At 52.1% G+C, this 14,333-nt stretch overlaps 2 protein-coding genes across 7 annotated transcripts in view, besides 7 other annotated features; one reads left to right on the plus strand and one right to left on the minus strand.

Annotated features, from left to right (window-relative positions):
* The window catches only part of SARM1 (sterile alpha and TIR motif containing 1), a 32,356-nt gene extending 22,230 nt beyond the window's left edge, over positions 1–10,126 (plus strand). Inside the window, exons 8-9 of the mRNA NM_015077.4 lie at positions 1,982–2,103; positions 2,234–10,126. Coding sequence (NP_055892.2) covers positions 1,982–2,103; positions 2,234–2,363 — 252 coding nt within the window. The 3' untranslated portion in view covers positions 2,364–10,126. The remainder of the gene's footprint in view (positions 1–1,981; positions 2,104–2,233) is intronic.
* SLC46A1 (solute carrier family 46 member 1) lies at positions 719–12,669 on the minus strand. Of its 6 annotated transcripts, XM_017024110.2 has the most exons (6): positions 12,534–12,669; positions 11,964–12,074; positions 10,693–11,545; positions 8,315–8,398; positions 6,687–6,843; positions 719–5,790 (listed from the first exon to the last, which is right to left on the minus strand). In XM_017024110.2, exons 2-6 carry the CDS (start codon positions 11,967–11,969, stop codon positions 5,733–5,735), a joined length of 1,158 nt encoding a protein of 385 aa, XP_016879599.1. In that variant the 5' UTR covers positions 11,970–12,074; positions 12,534–12,669; the 3' UTR covers positions 719–5,732. The 6 variants fall into 6 exon arrangements, with proteins under 6 accessions (XP_016879599.1, XP_047291235.1, NP_542400.2 ...); XM_047435279.1 differs by lacking the exon at positions 8,315–8,398; NM_080669.6 differs by lacking the exon at positions 12,534–12,669 and having other exon boundaries at positions 11,964–12,289.
* Positions 1,758–2,441: an enhancer, noted in NCBI's record as "H3K4me1 hESC enhancer chr17:26722700-26723383 (GRCh37/hg19 assembly coordinates)". NCBI's record gives its function as "activates a minimal SCP1, AML or CMV promoter by ChIP-STARR-seq in naive H9 embryonic stem cells {active_cell/tissue: H9 hESC(naive)}" and the evidence as "EXISTENCE:reporter gene assay evidence [ECO:0000049][PMID:30033119]".
* Positions 3,125–3,808: an enhancer, noted in NCBI's record as "H3K4me1 hESC enhancer chr17:26724067-26724750 (GRCh37/hg19 assembly coordinates)". NCBI's record gives its function as "activates a minimal SCP1, AML or CMV promoter by ChIP-STARR-seq in primed H9 embryonic stem cells {active_cell/tissue: H9 hESC(primed)}" and the evidence as "EXISTENCE:reporter gene assay evidence [ECO:0000049][PMID:30033119]".
* Positions 4,573–4,662: an enhancer, noted in NCBI's record as "active region_11926". NCBI's record gives its function as "activates an Ori minimal core promoter by ATAC-STARR-seq in GM12878 lymphoblastoid cells {active_cell/tissue: GM12878}" and the evidence as "EXISTENCE:reporter gene assay evidence [ECO:0000049][PMID:35858748]".
* Positions 8,206–8,948: an enhancer, noted in NCBI's record as "OCT4-NANOG hESC enhancer chr17:26729147-26729889 (GRCh37/hg19 assembly coordinates)". NCBI's record gives its function as "activates a minimal SCP1, AML or CMV promoter by ChIP-STARR-seq in naive and primed H9 embryonic stem cells {active_cell/tissue: H9 hESC(naive and primed)}" and the evidence as "EXISTENCE:reporter gene assay evidence [ECO:0000049][PMID:30033119]".
* Positions 10,578–11,303: an enhancer, noted in NCBI's record as "H3K27ac-H3K4me1 hESC enhancer chr17:26731519-26732244 (GRCh37/hg19 assembly coordinates)". NCBI's record gives its function as "activates a minimal SCP1, AML or CMV promoter by ChIP-STARR-seq in naive H9 embryonic stem cells {active_cell/tissue: H9 hESC(naive)}" and the evidence as "EXISTENCE:reporter gene assay evidence [ECO:0000049][PMID:30033119]".
* Positions 11,771–11,930: a silencer, noted in NCBI's record as "silent region_8339". NCBI's record gives its function as "represses an Ori minimal core promoter by ATAC-STARR-seq in GM12878 lymphoblastoid cells {active_cell/tissue: GM12878}" and the evidence as "EXISTENCE:reporter gene assay evidence [ECO:0000049][PMID:35858748]".
* Positions 12,131–12,470: a silencer, noted in NCBI's record as "silent region_8340". NCBI's record gives its function as "represses an Ori minimal core promoter by ATAC-STARR-seq in GM12878 lymphoblastoid cells {active_cell/tissue: GM12878}" and the evidence as "EXISTENCE:reporter gene assay evidence [ECO:0000049][PMID:35858748]".

The following is a 14,333-nucleotide window of genomic DNA, read 5'->3' on the forward strand; positions in this document are numbered from 1 at the left end:
TGGTCAGGGCAGTGGGAGACAACTGCCCTGTGTAAGAGTTGATTGAGCTCAGATCAGAAAAATGAATGGGCATTATCAAGGGGGAAGGACAAGGAAGCTTATTTTGTGTGTCTGGGAGGACAGGGCAGGGGTAGAGTTTGAGAAGTGGACTGTGGCCAACCACATAGGGTCTCACAGGCCACATGAAGGAGTTTGGACTTTATTCTAAGACCATGCAAAGTCTTGAAGAATTTTAAGTAGGGGGTGACAGGACCTAATTTGTCAGATGTGCATTTTGCAAATATTAGCTACATGAAAGGGCAATGTGGAGAGTGAATTAGAGAAGACAAGCGTGGATGAGGAAAGACCTGGTGGGGGCTTAAAGATAATGGGGATTGGAAGAGGGTGGTAGTGGGGTGGAGGTAGGGAAAAATAGTGGATTTGAGAAATAAGTAAGGAGTACAATTGGCAGGGCGCATGATGGATCAACCTGTACGCAGGAGTGTGATGTTTTTCTTCTGACACCAAATTGTTTGGGGTTTTTCCCACACTAACCACTAATTCTCCAGCTTGCCAACACCAACTGGGTATCCCGCAATTCAATTCAATTCTGAAATGTCAGTCACGAGGCCCAGGCCCCCAGGCTGCCACATTTCTGTTTGATTTGGCTACAAATTCGGGGGTGCCCATGACACCCCGAGATTCAATTTGCCAGAATGACTCACAGAACTCAGGAAAGCACTTTACTTACTATTAGTTGTTTATTATGTCAACCTTAAATAATGAGATTCAGAAAATAAGACTAAGTATAGAGTTTCTTTGAGTGCAAAGTTTGAGAATAGCCACCCAGTAAGCATTGACTCCAAAGGCATGGGGTGAGCATTCCAAACTGGAGAAGTTAAGGTTTCACTTCCACAGGCAAAGAGAGAGGAATTTTAGCAGGATTACAACATTTTCCATACAAGACCAGTGCGTATGTTACAGTGCTTTGATTGGTTATAGATTGCTACATTCCAAGGAAGATGACTTTATTACCCCCTGAGAAAGGGTGGTGATCTAAGTGGGGATCTAAGGGAGTCTTATCTCTGGTGCCATTTGGTCTTCCTAAGTAATTACAGAAAAAAAAAAAATAGGTGGAAGTTGCAGCTGCATGCCCCATGACTCAGGCTGCAGAGACCAATTCCTGTCAAGGCTCAGAATAACTTAAAGTTCCAAGAGCTTTAGGTTTGATTTAACAAAGCTTGAATAATAGTAATAAATAATATTATTAATCTCAAAATCCTGGGCTCAAGTGATCCTCCTGCCTCAGCCTCCCAAAGTGTTGGGATTACAGGCGTGACCCACCATGCCCAGCTGAATTATTTAATTTCACAGTTATAAAGGACACAGCTCAAGAATAGCCAAATGGAAGAGATACATAGGATCTCTACGTATGGAGGGTGGAGGTGTGGATGCCATGCCTTCTACCACCTTCCCAGCACCTACACCTGTTTATCAACCTGGAGGCTCTTCAAAACCCCTTGTTTGGGGGTTTTTATGGAGGTTCCATTATGTAGGCATGATTGATTAAATCATTGGCCATTGGTGATTGAACTCAATCTCCAGCACCTCTCTGGAGGCTGGGAGGTGGGGCTGAAAGTTCCAATCCTCTAGTCATGCCCTGGTCTCCCTGGTGACCAGCCCTCTTCCTGAAACTATCTAGGCTACCCCCATAGCACCCCCCGGGCCCCCAGTGGGGAATCATCTCTTTAGCATACAAAGACACTCATCACTCAAGAGATTCCAAGGGTTTTAGCAGCTCTGTGCCAGGAACTCTGGGCAAAGGAAAAATATTTATTTTTTATTACACTACAAGGGTTAAGGTAGACATCAAGGTGGACATCAGGACTGGTGTCCTGCCCTGGGCCCAGCCTCGGGCCAGTGGGCCTCCCAGCACCTGCCTGGCTACAAGGGTCCCTAGATGGGTACAGGGGTATCTTCCTCCTTTCCTTTCTTTCTCCAGGAGATTGTGACTGCTTTAAGCTGCGGCAAGAACATTGTGCCCATCATTGATGGCTTCGAGTGGCCTGAGCCCCAGGTCCTGCCTGAGGACATGCAGGCTGTGCTTACTTTCAACGGTATCAAGTGAGCCCCAGGGCCCTGGGACCAGGGGGGTAGGGTACAAATCACCATGACAGGCAGAGTGTGGGCAAACAGCTGACTAGCAGCTCCCTCTGCCCAGCTGTCTGAACCACATTGGCTCCTGTGCCCACAGGTGGTCCCACGAATACCAGGAGGCCACCATTGAGAAGATCATCCGCTTCCTGCAGGGCCGCTCCTCCCGGGACTCATCTGCAGGCTCTGACACCAGTTTGGAGGGTGCTGCACCCATGGGTCCAACCTAACCAGTCCCCAGTTCCCCAGCCCTGCTGTGACTTCCATTTCCATCGTCCTTTCTGAAGGAACAGCTCCTGAAACCAGTCTCCCTGGGCTGAGACAACCTGGGCTCTTCTTAGGAAATGGCTCTCCCTCCCCCTGTCCCCCACCCTCATGGCCCACCTCCAACCCACTTTCCTCAGTATCTGGAGAGGGAAGGGAAGTCAGGCTTGGGCACGGGAGGTTAGAACTCCCCCAGGCCCTGCCATTGGGTTGTCTGTCTCCGTCATGGGGAGGGTCCCTGCTCAGTTCTGGAGACACTGGAGTTGGGGTGGGGGTGGTTCTGCATTCCCTTCTCCTGCTGATAGCAGTCAGCTTGAGGAGGATGACGGAAGGCAGCCTCAGACAGGAATTAAGGCAATGCCCAGGCGGGCCTGGGCACTGTATTCTGAGCAAGGGCCTGGGCCCAGGAGCCAGCCAGGGATGAGTGCCATCATGGCTCTCCACTCAGACTGTGCCTGGCCCCTGCACTTACAACTTCCTGCCGCTCTGTGGCCTTGCCCTGTAATCACTCAGTGCCCTTAGCTAGCCTGACTAAGTCCCAGATCCCCTACAGCTTCCTTCGGTGTGGTATCTTTTGCCACATCCAGGGCGAGGGTTGAGGCAAACCAGCCCTCCCTCTGACTTCCTTGTCACTGCAGCCAGCTTTGCTGCACTTGCTGGTGCACAGGAGCCTCCTGTTTGGGCCTGGGTCTGGGCATGGGGAGGCCGTGCCTCAAAGCCCACCCTACCCCATGCCTTGGTGCTGTGCCTCAGGCTCCTTCCTGGTCTGGCCCAGCTGGCTTCCCCAGCCCCTCAGCCATCCAGGGCTACCCACTGCTTACTCAGGGACCAGGCAGCCCCCATGGCAGTAAAAGCAGCCTAGACAGAACCTGCAGCTCTGTGGAAAGAGGCAAAGTCCTGAAAAGGCAAAGGGTTGTCACTTAGGGCAGCTTCTCCAACTTTAACATGCATCCAAGTCACCTGGGAATGTTGTTAAAATCAGGAGATCTGGGGTGGGGCCTAGGACTCTGCATTTCTTACAGATTCCCAGGTGAGCTGATGCTGGTGGTTAAGGGTAGCAAATCTCTAAAGCACGAAGCCCTCACAAATCTTTGCCATTTCCCAAACACTCCGCTCCATGGTCTCCAGTCATCAGAGCAACTCTACCTGGTATTATCATCCCCATTTTACAGATAATGACACTGAGGCTCAGAAAGGTTGAGGATAAGCCCACTTTCCTGTCATTAGTGGCAGCCCCAGATCCAGACCTAGGCCTCCTGGCACCCAGTCCACTGGCAGTGGAATTGCTTTCCTGAGAATCATTCTGAGGCTGGGCTATTGCTTCTCCCTTGCTTCAAAGAATCTAGCAGCGGGGGATAGGATTTTGCAACAAAAAGCTGACCCAGAGGCCATACAGAGCAGGAATATCCCATTGCCCCCTCCTCCACTGGGTTCAGAGGGTAAGAAAGCACCCTCCAATAAACCCAGGCTCCAGGCCGTGGGGGCTGCTGAAGGCTCTTTCCCCGCAAGGGCCAGGTGTTGACACCTTAAAGCTGGCTGCGCCCCCAGCCCCACTCTTGGCTGTGCTGGCCAGGTGACTCCTAGTTCTTGGCCACATCATCAGAAAGTCAAAGGTCTCACTCCAGGTTTGGGGCTCCTTCCTTCCACTCCCCTCCCTGCCAGAGTCTGTCTTGGCCAGTGCCAGCCTCGATGCTTTGGTTTTGACCCCACCTGATCCTCCTTTCCTCATGCAGCACAAGTGCTCACCGGGGCCAGAGCCAGGGCATGGATATGACAAGCAGGGCAGCCTGGACACTGCCCTCACAGGACAGCGCCAATAACAATACAGTGTCTGAGTATCTCCAGGGGATGATTTCTGGCTCTTTGTCTCCAATCAGTCCCACTCCCTCCTGAGGTCCCCAAGGGCAGTATTCAGAGAGGTTTCCTGCGTTTTATTTCTATTTGGTATACCCTCCACTGTTGTCCACTGCCCTGTGTGGCCTTCTGGTTGACCTCTGCCCGATCTTCTGTCTCTCTGAGGGAATCAGAGTCCAGCATCCAGCCCCAGCTGGAACAGCTGAAGTCACAAGCCTCCTCTAAGCCAAGGCCAGTGTGTTCAGAGGTGACTGCCACCCATACTAGGACAAACACAGCTCAGATCACCAGGTCAAGCACCTAGGCCTGGCTTCTCCTGAGACAGAGGACTCAGAAGTGGCCTTTCCTCCAAAGCCTGCTCAGACACAGGTCTGTAGGGCCAGGGTGTTCTGCTTGGCTGGGCTGCAGCTGCTACCCCTCGGTTGGGGCTGAGTCAGCCAGATCCTCCCCCTACTTCTCCCCAAGGGCCAAGAACTGCTCAGGGACATTAAAGGTCAAAAGTCCAGCCACACTCATTCATCCTTTCCCCAGGCCCATGAAGAGAGGCATCTCATTGTAGAATGTATGAGGAAGTGGGAAGTATCTCAGAGAATCAGCTAAGTTTCCTAACTTGTCCATCCAAATGTGATCACCACGATTCAACAATTTGGGGCATTGCTGATCTAGCCGTTCCTAGTGGGGCTTGCTCAAGGTTGCACAGCGAGTCAGTAGAAGCCCTGGCTGGCCCCACTTGGTACCAATCCACCAGGCAGCTCAGGGCTCCTGCCCAGCCCAGCAGCTTCTGTTGTCTAACGTATGGCAGGCAGACTGGGAGCAGGAAAACAGAGGGCCCCAAAGCCCAAGGCACCAGAAGGTTTGTTTCAGTTTGCTGAAGCTGATTTGTAATGATTGGCACTCTTCAGCCAGGGGAGTGGGTAGGCCATAGCCAAGGATCGATTCCCCAACCACAGCAAAGGCAACACTCTTCCTCCAGAGATCACCAAGCCCCTCTTACCTCCCTCCCTCCTTCCCAAGGCTGGCACTAACCAGGTACCACATTCATTGTTAAGGAATGGCTGATGACTGCTACACGTGTTGGGAACCTGGTTGGGGCTGTGCAGTTTGGGCTGGAAGGAGAGATGCCAGCCCTCGTGCTGCCTCTGGTCCCTGAAGTGTCACCTCTCTCAGGACCTCTCCTCTGGCCTGTGGGGTTATAAGTGATGGATAGCAGAAAGGGAGAACTGACTCCTGTCCCAAATAGCTCCTCTGCCACCTGTCCTGCAGTGGGCCTGTGTGGGTTATGATTCTAGATCCTAGACAGAGGCTGGGTCAGCTGTGGATGGGGTGGTGCCTTGGTCTCTCTTGACTACCTCGTCCAAAGAGAGCACTGCCCTTAGACAAGAGTTGCTTGTCCTGCTGTGGGCTGGGCTTCCAGCTGCAGACCTCCAGTTGCTTGGTGTTCACTTTGCTCCTCTTGCCCTCTGTCTTCTGGTCCAGGCAGATCAGGGGCTCTGGGGAAACTGCTGGAACTCGAGGTGAGGATCAGCCTTTTCCAGCATCCTGTGAGAGACCAGAGAGAGAGTTTGGATTTCATGTGGGGAACCCTCAAGGCCTGTCTGGAGAAGTGACACAGGATTTACTGGGGTGGGCTGGTCCAGGTAGCTCTCCTGAACCTCCTCCTTCCCCAAGCTGAGAAGCTGAGAGCTGGAGGACAATATCCAGGGACATGGCTCTGGAAAATAACTTTTTTTTTTTTAAGAGACAGGGTCTTGCTCTGTTGTCCAGGCTGGAGGGCAGTGACATAATCATAGCTCACTGTACCCTTGAACTCCTGGGCTCAAGTGATCCTCCTGCCTCAGCCTCCTTAGTAGCTGGGACTACCAGTGCATACCACCATGCCTGGGTGATTTTTTAAATTTTTTATACAGACAAGGTCTTGCTATGTTGCCCAGGCTGATCTTGAATTCCCGGGCTCAAGTGGTCCTCCTGCCTCAGCCTCCCACAGGATCGGGATTACAGGCAAGAGCCTCCACGCCCGGCCATGAAATATAATTCTTAATATCATACAGGAAAAAGTCAGCGGGTCAAGCTAGCCTGTGGCCCAGCCACAACTAGCTGACAAAGCTTCCTGGCCTTCCCTTTAACACAGTTCTGCTGCCATAGTTCCATCTATAAAATGGGAATGGAGGGAAATAGGGGAACTGGGAGAGAGAACACAGCCTTGCCAAGCAGCAATGTTAGCCTGATCCTTCCTCCACCTAGCTCGCCATCTCGCCCTTGGAAAATGGCTCCTGGAGGATTAGGCAGCCATCTGCAAGGAGAGGGGCAACCTGGGACAAGACACCCAGAGGGTAAGGATTCCAGGAATGAAGCTGCCATTTCTGGTTGGGAGGAGAAGAGGAAACTTTTAAGAGAAAGGGCTCCATTATGAGCATGGGTTCAGGGCCCTGCATTACCCAATCAGAACAGCCGGGATGAGCAGGAGGCCAGCTCCCAGGAGGAAGGGGAACCCCTTCATAAAGTTCAGAGTGGCTGGGTAGAGTGAGTTGAAGATGCCGGAGGCCGTCAGCATGGCCAGGCTATTCACACAGGCCACAGCAGAAAAGAGAGCACCTGTGAAGAAATAAATACCATACTCTGGAGTCCGAAAGGGCCATATTCCAACTCTGGCACCACCACCTCACAGCTGTGTGACCGGGAGTAGTCACTTAACCTATGTCTCCCCTTCCTCACCAGTAAATCCTGCTACATCATGTACTGTGACAAGGATTCAGTAAGGTCATATGTGGACAGTAGCTGGCACAGAGGGGCTACTAAACAAATGGCTGCTATTAAATCCACATTAAAAGTACATGTGATCTGACAGAACCCAGCACATAAAAGAAAAAAAAAGTACATGTGATATTGTCTGATGAAAGCTTGATGGAAATGGCTTTTTTCTGGTTTATCCTCTTTGGAATCATCTCCTGTTTGGGATTAACTGCTGGTCTGATCAGTTCCAATATTCATAGCGGTGTCACCACTGAATAGCTTCTTATCCTTTGGGTTCCTGTTCCTCCTTCTGCTAAATAAGGATAATACCTATTTCCTAGATTGTGAGCAACATTAAGTTCACATGGAAATCACCCATCACTGGGCCTGGTCCCCTGGAAGTAGCTAGTTAGTAAGGGCTGTTCTTTTCTCCTGTTTCTCTTGACATCTCTGGGCACAGAGAAAGTGCTGGGAAAAAAAGTTTAGGTGAATGAATGAAGACACATGGATTCTGGGGACACCAGAACCCACAGTGGGCTCTGTATGGCACCAGAGTCTCTGTCATCATCAGATCCTCATTCCAGGACAGATGGAAAAAGATGAATGTTTCCAGACTGGGGCATAAAGACCCAGAGGCTGGAGAAGCTGTTCTTTATAGATATACCAGGAGAACCCACAGTTTACAAAATGTGCAACAACCCAACAGAAGTTGAGATTAAATTCTGTCACATCTAGAGGGGTCTGTGATGTCATCAAAAGCAAACCACCCACATCACAGATGAAGAAACAGGCCTGTGGCAGGGCTCGGACTAAAACCCAGATCCTGAGACCAGCTGCTTTTAAACACAGACGTAGGTTTGCATCCTAGCTCCACCATTTACTGAGTAACCTTGGGTGAGCCAATGTAACCCCCTGGGTCTCTGTTTCTTTATCTGTCAACTGTGGAAAATGAAACCCATGTCACAAGGTTGTTCACTTCTGGGCTTGTACACGCTGACCCCAGAGAAACAGGGAACTCTGGCATCACCACACCCATCTTACAGACGGAAAAGCTGAGGTCTGCAGAGAGTAAATCCTCTGCTCTGGTTATCTAGAAAGAACATAATTGTGCTCTGCTGACTGCAAATCCCAACTCTGCGGTTTGAAAATCCAAGGTGGCATGATCCTCTGCCCATTGTGGGCAATTTCACAGAAATGTGTTTGTTTTGGCCACTTACTTCTCCAGGGTGAGAGGGGGGAAGGCAAGCTGTTCCCCCAGCCATGGCTGCCCATCAGCCCGTTTCGGGCAGCACTGGACATGAGGAACCAGACACAGGTGGGTTCTGACACTCACCCTGCTCTGTCTCTCTCACCAGCTTGGAGAGTTTAGCCCGGATGACAGGTGTGATGACTAATGACAGGAAAAGCAACCCATATCCTGTGGAGAAACAAACACTCATCAGGAAAATGGGGCTGGGGAGAGGGGCGTCCAAGGGAAAGGCAGCAGAGCTCCTATCCATACCCCACGTGGGGCTTAGGTTAGACCCAGGAAGAACTTCCTTGATGGTGAGGGTGGGAAGACAGTAGTCAAGGAGGAATGGAGACTGCCCTTGTCTGGGCTTGGCCACCTGCTAGCTCTCATGAATGAATGCTAATTCCCATTGATTGCTTTCTTGTCTGAACCTCTTGTGGTCACAGCAGGCATCACCCACCCACTTGGCACTTAGTAGGGATATGGCAGGGCACAGAAAACAAGCATGGGCTTTGGAGTCAGCCCTGAGTTCAAAACCTGATGCCATTACATATTATCTGTGTGGCCTGGGGTACTTACCCTCTCTGATCCTGACTCCCTGTATGAGGAAGATAATAAGGCCTTCATCACAGGATGGTTCTGAGGCATAGGAGGCTGAATAATGGTGCCCAATGGCATCAGATTCATAGCCCTGGAACCTGTAAATACTACCTTATTTGGAAAATGAGTCTATGCAGGTGTGCAGTTAAGCCTCCTGAGAGAGCAGAGTTATCCTGGATTAGGTTGGGCCCTAAATGCCGTCACACATATCTTTATAAGAGGAAAGCAGACGGAGATTTGGCACCGACAGAATTGAGAAGGCACAAAGAGGAGGAGAGTCAATGTGAGCACAGAGGCAGAGACTGGTGATGGCCGCCCCAAGCCAAGGAATGCCAGCAGCCCCAGAAGCTGGAAGAAATGAGAAACACGTTCTCTCCTGGAGGCTTGCAAGGGAGCACTGCCTGCTGACTGCTTCCATTCAGCCCGGTGGTACTGACTTTGGACTTCTGGCCTCCAGAACTGTGAGAGAATATGTTTCTGTTGTGTTAAGCCCCCAAGTTTGTGGTATGTCATTACAGCAATCTCAGGGAACCAATACATGAGGTAAAAAGGTAACATCTATGAAGAGCATGGCATAGGGACACAGCAAATGGGAGTTCCTTTTCCCTTTGCATTCAGTTACTTACAGGCTTCCTGTTTTCTTCATAACCATTTCTCTCCCTGTGCGACTGCTGACTCCTCAGCAAAACTGCAAACTCCTACAGGACAGTGGATCCTCCAAAGAAGGTATACGATGAGGCATCCAGGGACCCTAGCAGTGTCAGGCCCCTCAAATCCCACTCTGTTGAGACCTCCCCCCGACCCAGAGCAATGACAGCATCTTTATCATCTCTGCATCCCCCAGGGCCATCAGCAGGAGGGAAAGGTTCCCTTCTGCTTAATTGTCAGACAAGCAGTTGAGTTAAGAAATCTGTGATTATTGTATTGTTGACTATACACAGCACATTTTAGGGCTCTATCAAAATAAATCTGTCCCTTTAAAAAAAGTTAACTAAAGCCGGGCACGGTGGCTCATGCCTGTAATCCCAACACTTTGGGAGGCTGAGGCAGGCGGATCCTTGAGCTCAGGAGTTAGAGACCTGGACTGGGCAAAATGGTGAGGACCCCATCTCTATAAAAAATACAAAAATTAGCAAGGTGTGGTAATGTGCACCAGTGGTCCCAGCTACTAGAGAGGCCAAGGTGGGAGGATCATCTGGGCCCGGGGGATGAGGCTGCAGTGAGCCATGATCGTGCCACTGCACTCTAGCCTGGGTAACAAAGCGAGACCCTGTCTCTAAATACATCAATCAAATAAAAATTTTAAAAAGTTAACTTCCTCATTTACTGGCCTGTTGACCCTCTCCCATCAAAAAAAGAAGGGGAGGAAGTGAGGAGGGAAAGGAGAAGGAGAAAGAGGAGAAGAGGAACTGAAGCAGGAATTTCATATCTGTGGTCCGAGAAGACTGGTTTTTAAAAAACCCAAAGAAGCTGACTAAGGGTATTTGAGGTAGGTCCTGTGATTCTTATCAGAGAAGTGAGTACCAGGCATTAATGGCATGGACTTTGTTTAAGAACATATGAATAGGCGGTGGGAGGCCAAGGGGTAAAGCAATTAGTGTATGAGCCACACTTTTGTCTTTTGCTCTATATTACTAACAATATTAATGGTTGATAACAGTGGGTTAATTACTTTAGCTACTGAAGGTCTATATTTTCCATGTATCAAAGATGGCATTTTTGAGGGATTTCTTAGTTGTCTGTTCTCCAGTGCAGGCTGGGGGCATAACTATGTTTCCAAAGACACAGGAATGAACCACATCTGGGGGCAGTGAGTGGCCGGCCCCCAGTTCTTACCCAGTGCCTCTGGGACAAGCTGTCCCTGAGCCCACACACTTTACCTGTGAACATGAGAGGCGTGATAGTGGCAAAGGCAAAGACCACCATCCCCAGGATGTTGAAGGCCAGGCCGATCTCAGCTACCCAGGCATCGGCCAGGCAGTACTGCAGGAGCTTCAGGGCCAGCAGGCTGGTGAGGTAGGGGAGATGCTGAGCTGCAGAACCATAGCCGATTAGTTTGGAGTCCCAGCAGAGGGGTGTGCTTAGTTCATAAAGGGTTAAGATGTCCTGGGCCCCAAAGTGCACAGTGATCACCACGAAGATGGCCAGTGAGTAGAGGGCTAAATGTTTCCTGGACTTCTCTGGGGCGGGAGCCACATAGAGCTGGACAATGGATCGGTGGTGACGGAACGTGAAGAGCCGGGTGGACTTTGGCTCCTTTAAGGTCTCACCAAAGCAGAAAGCTGCATAGAGAGTCATGGCTATCAGCAAGGCCAAGGCCAGCCAGAAGGGGTTGGCATAACCCTGGGCCCGGAGCCAGTGGCCCCCGAGGAGGCTTGCCAGCATCCCAGCCACCCCGATGCTGGCTTCCAGCAGGGCCATCCGGAAGGTGCGGCTGCGACTGGAGCTGACATCTGCCACGGACGCAAAGCTAGCAGCCAGAAGGCCACCGAAGTCGCCGAGGAGGGCACAAAGGATGCGACCCAGCACGAAGTAGCCGACGTGGAGCTGCAGCTGCACCACAAAAACGGACACTAGGGCCTGGAGCAGCAGGCCCAGCGAGGCCAGCACTAGCAGCGGGCGGCGGCCCACACTGTCGCTCCAAGCTCCCAGCAGGGTGGACGAGAAGAGCCCCACCAGGAAGCCGCCCACGTTCATGTAGAGGGTCCAGTGGGAGGTAAGGGTCTCCACTTCCTGTAGGGGCACAATGACCAGGGTGCGGTTCCTCACTCTGGGTTCCACAATCCCCAAATCCTCGCCATCCCGGGAGCTACAGGGATGAGGACTTCCTTTGGAGCCCTAAACCTCAGAGAATCTTAGCACAGCTTTCAAAATCTGCCAGTGGAGAGGGGGAAGGACATGGACCAAGGCCCCATTCCCTTTCCTTTCCCCCCCCTTTTGTTAACCTGCAAGGCCAGACTTTAGCTCAGCTTTTCGCATCCCACCCGCTGAGGTTCTCGGTCAGGCCCCTTTGCTCTGGTCCCGCCCACCATCCAAAATGCACCCTCCCTCCAGTTACCCGCCACTACCATTACGCAGGCCCCGCCCCTCCGCTGCCCCCACGCTCCAGACCAGGGCCCTCCACCTGCCAGGCTCCTCGCCGCCCCGCTACCTGCATGGTGGGGTCCGCGCTGCGGTTGCTGCAGCCCCCCCTTTGGCGGGTGCCATTGTAGCCGAGGTCGGCGCTGAAGCGGTGCCACAGATACTGCGTGGTGAGCGGGCCCTGCAGGACCAAGGCAAAGTTGGCCAGGAAGACCAGCGGCTCTACCGGGCCCCGGCACAGCACGGCAGCCGCAGGGCGGGCGCGGGGCTTTTCCGGGGGGCTCGCGCTCCCCTCCATGTGCGTGCGCGGCGGAGCTGTCGCCAGGCGGGCGGCGGGGCGCGCGAGCGACTCGCTGCCTGGGACCAGCGACGCGTGGCGTGGGGCTTGCGCTGTCTGCGCCTGCGCCCGGCGTCCCTCCTTAAATGTCCGGCGGGGAGGGGCCTGTGACCTGAGGCCACCGGACTCTCGCCGCGGGTGCACCTGGCTGGGCGTGGGCCAGCGAGGGGCCCGGCACCCCCAGCCCGCGGGATGACCTCACCTGTAAAGTGTGCGTAGACACCGCCCTGCAGCCCTCCCTCCCGGCCCAGACACACCACAGATAACAAGAATATCAACAATTAACATGTATTGACCACTTACTATGTGCTGGGCACGGTATTAAACCCTTTTTGTGCGTTGGTCTCCCGATAACTCTACAGGCTAGCCAATATTAACCATCGCTATCTACCGCTGAGGAAACGAGGTCATCGGGTACTCAAGGCAGAGCTGGAAGAGCACATGACTCCTGATGCTGCTGATGTTCTGCGCTGTAACAGAGAGGCAGCTGGAGAGGATCGGAGTGGGCTGAGCCCAGCTGCCTGGGTTGGAGCACCTAGGCTCTGCCACTACCTTCGGCATGCCACTTACCACCCTGAGCCTCTGTTTTTTCATCTGTAAAATGGAGTTGCTAACAAAACATGTCTCAAAAAGTTGTGGAAAAGCAGTGTCTGGTATATTCAAAGTGCTATTATTGCTATTAACAGGCTGTCACGTCTGGGAGTGGTGGCTCACACCTGTAATCCCAGCACTTTTGGAGGCTGAGGCGCATGGATCGCTTGAACCCAGGAGTTCGAGACCAATCTGGGCAACATGGTAAAACCCTGTCTCTACAAAAAATACACAAAAATTAGCCAGGCGTAGTAGCAGATACCTGTAGTCCCAGGTACTCGGGTGGCTGAGGTGGGAGGATCAATTGAGCCCAGGAGGCAGAGGTTGCAGTGGGCTGAGATCGCACCACTGCACTCCAGCCTGGGTGACAGAGCAAGACCCTGTCTCAAAAAATATAAAATAAAAATAAAATAAAAAACAAGCTGTCACTTGCTCCACTCCTGCCCTAGGATCTTTTCCTGGGAAACTAGTCTTGTTTCTGGGGTCAGGCAGGGCCTGGCTCTGCAGTTCCCTTAGAGAAGATGGGGGAGGGCCTGGGAGGTCCTTGGGTGTGAACCTATGCTCCTGGGTGGCTCCCATTATAGGAATTAGGCCAGAAGGCAGTCACCTGCTCTGCTGCTGAGGAGGTCAGACCCTGTCTGGGCCTCTGTTTTATTGCCTGTAAAAAGGAACAGCATTACCTTCCTTACTCCCCTATCTTTCATTCATTCAGCTCATTTACTGAGTGCCCCTTACGTGCCAGGCACTGTGCTGGGGGACTCCGGGACCACAACAGGAAAGGAAATAGACAAAGCCCTCACCAGGCCCGTTAGTTTCTAGAATGGTGGGAGAGGAAAAATAGTCAAAGAATCCTACTAATTGATACAAAATTCCAACCGTGGAAAATAGTTTTGAACTCCAAGGGTGCTAATTCAGGGGCTGGAGGTAGGGGGAGCAGAATCAGGAAAGGCCACCTTCCCTGAGAACAGAGCAGCTGAGTGGGTTTCTGGAGGCAGGTCCTGACAGGCCTGATTCTTGGGAGGATGGATGGCTCCAATTCTGGCCACTGTGACTGTGCCTGGGCCTGTTGGAGCTTGTTAGCTACCCCACCTCCCCTGAGCCAGGAGTCCGAGACTCAGGATGGGTAGGTGCTGGCTAGATACTAGTGAACTGAATAACCTCCCCCTGCAAGCTGCCCCCACCTGTGGTCCCCTAGAGAGAGGAAATTCCACATTAAACATTCAAGCCTCTGGATTGGCTCCACTCTCCTCCCTCCCCTTCCAACTCCTCCCTACCACTTACACAAAAGCTTGGCCCAGTTAGGTCAGCTGCAGTGAGGGAGGGGTACTTGGCTAAATCCTTGGAATTATTTCTTAGATAAAGAACTAAGGCTAGGAGAGGCCAAGGTCCCTCATCAGGAATGGGACAGGGTGTGGCTCATCCCAGAGCCAGAGCCTGCAGTACCCACTAGGGTAGAGGTCTTTTCTAACTCCTTGAAAACAGCTGCAATCAGGTCACTGGCCTGCTCAAAAC

This window comes from Homo sapiens, chromosome 17 (genome assembly GCF_000001405.40).
Source record: "Homo sapiens chromosome 17, GRCh38.p14 Primary Assembly".
Lineage (NCBI taxonomy): Eukaryota > Metazoa > Chordata > Mammalia > Primates > Hominidae > Homo > Homo sapiens.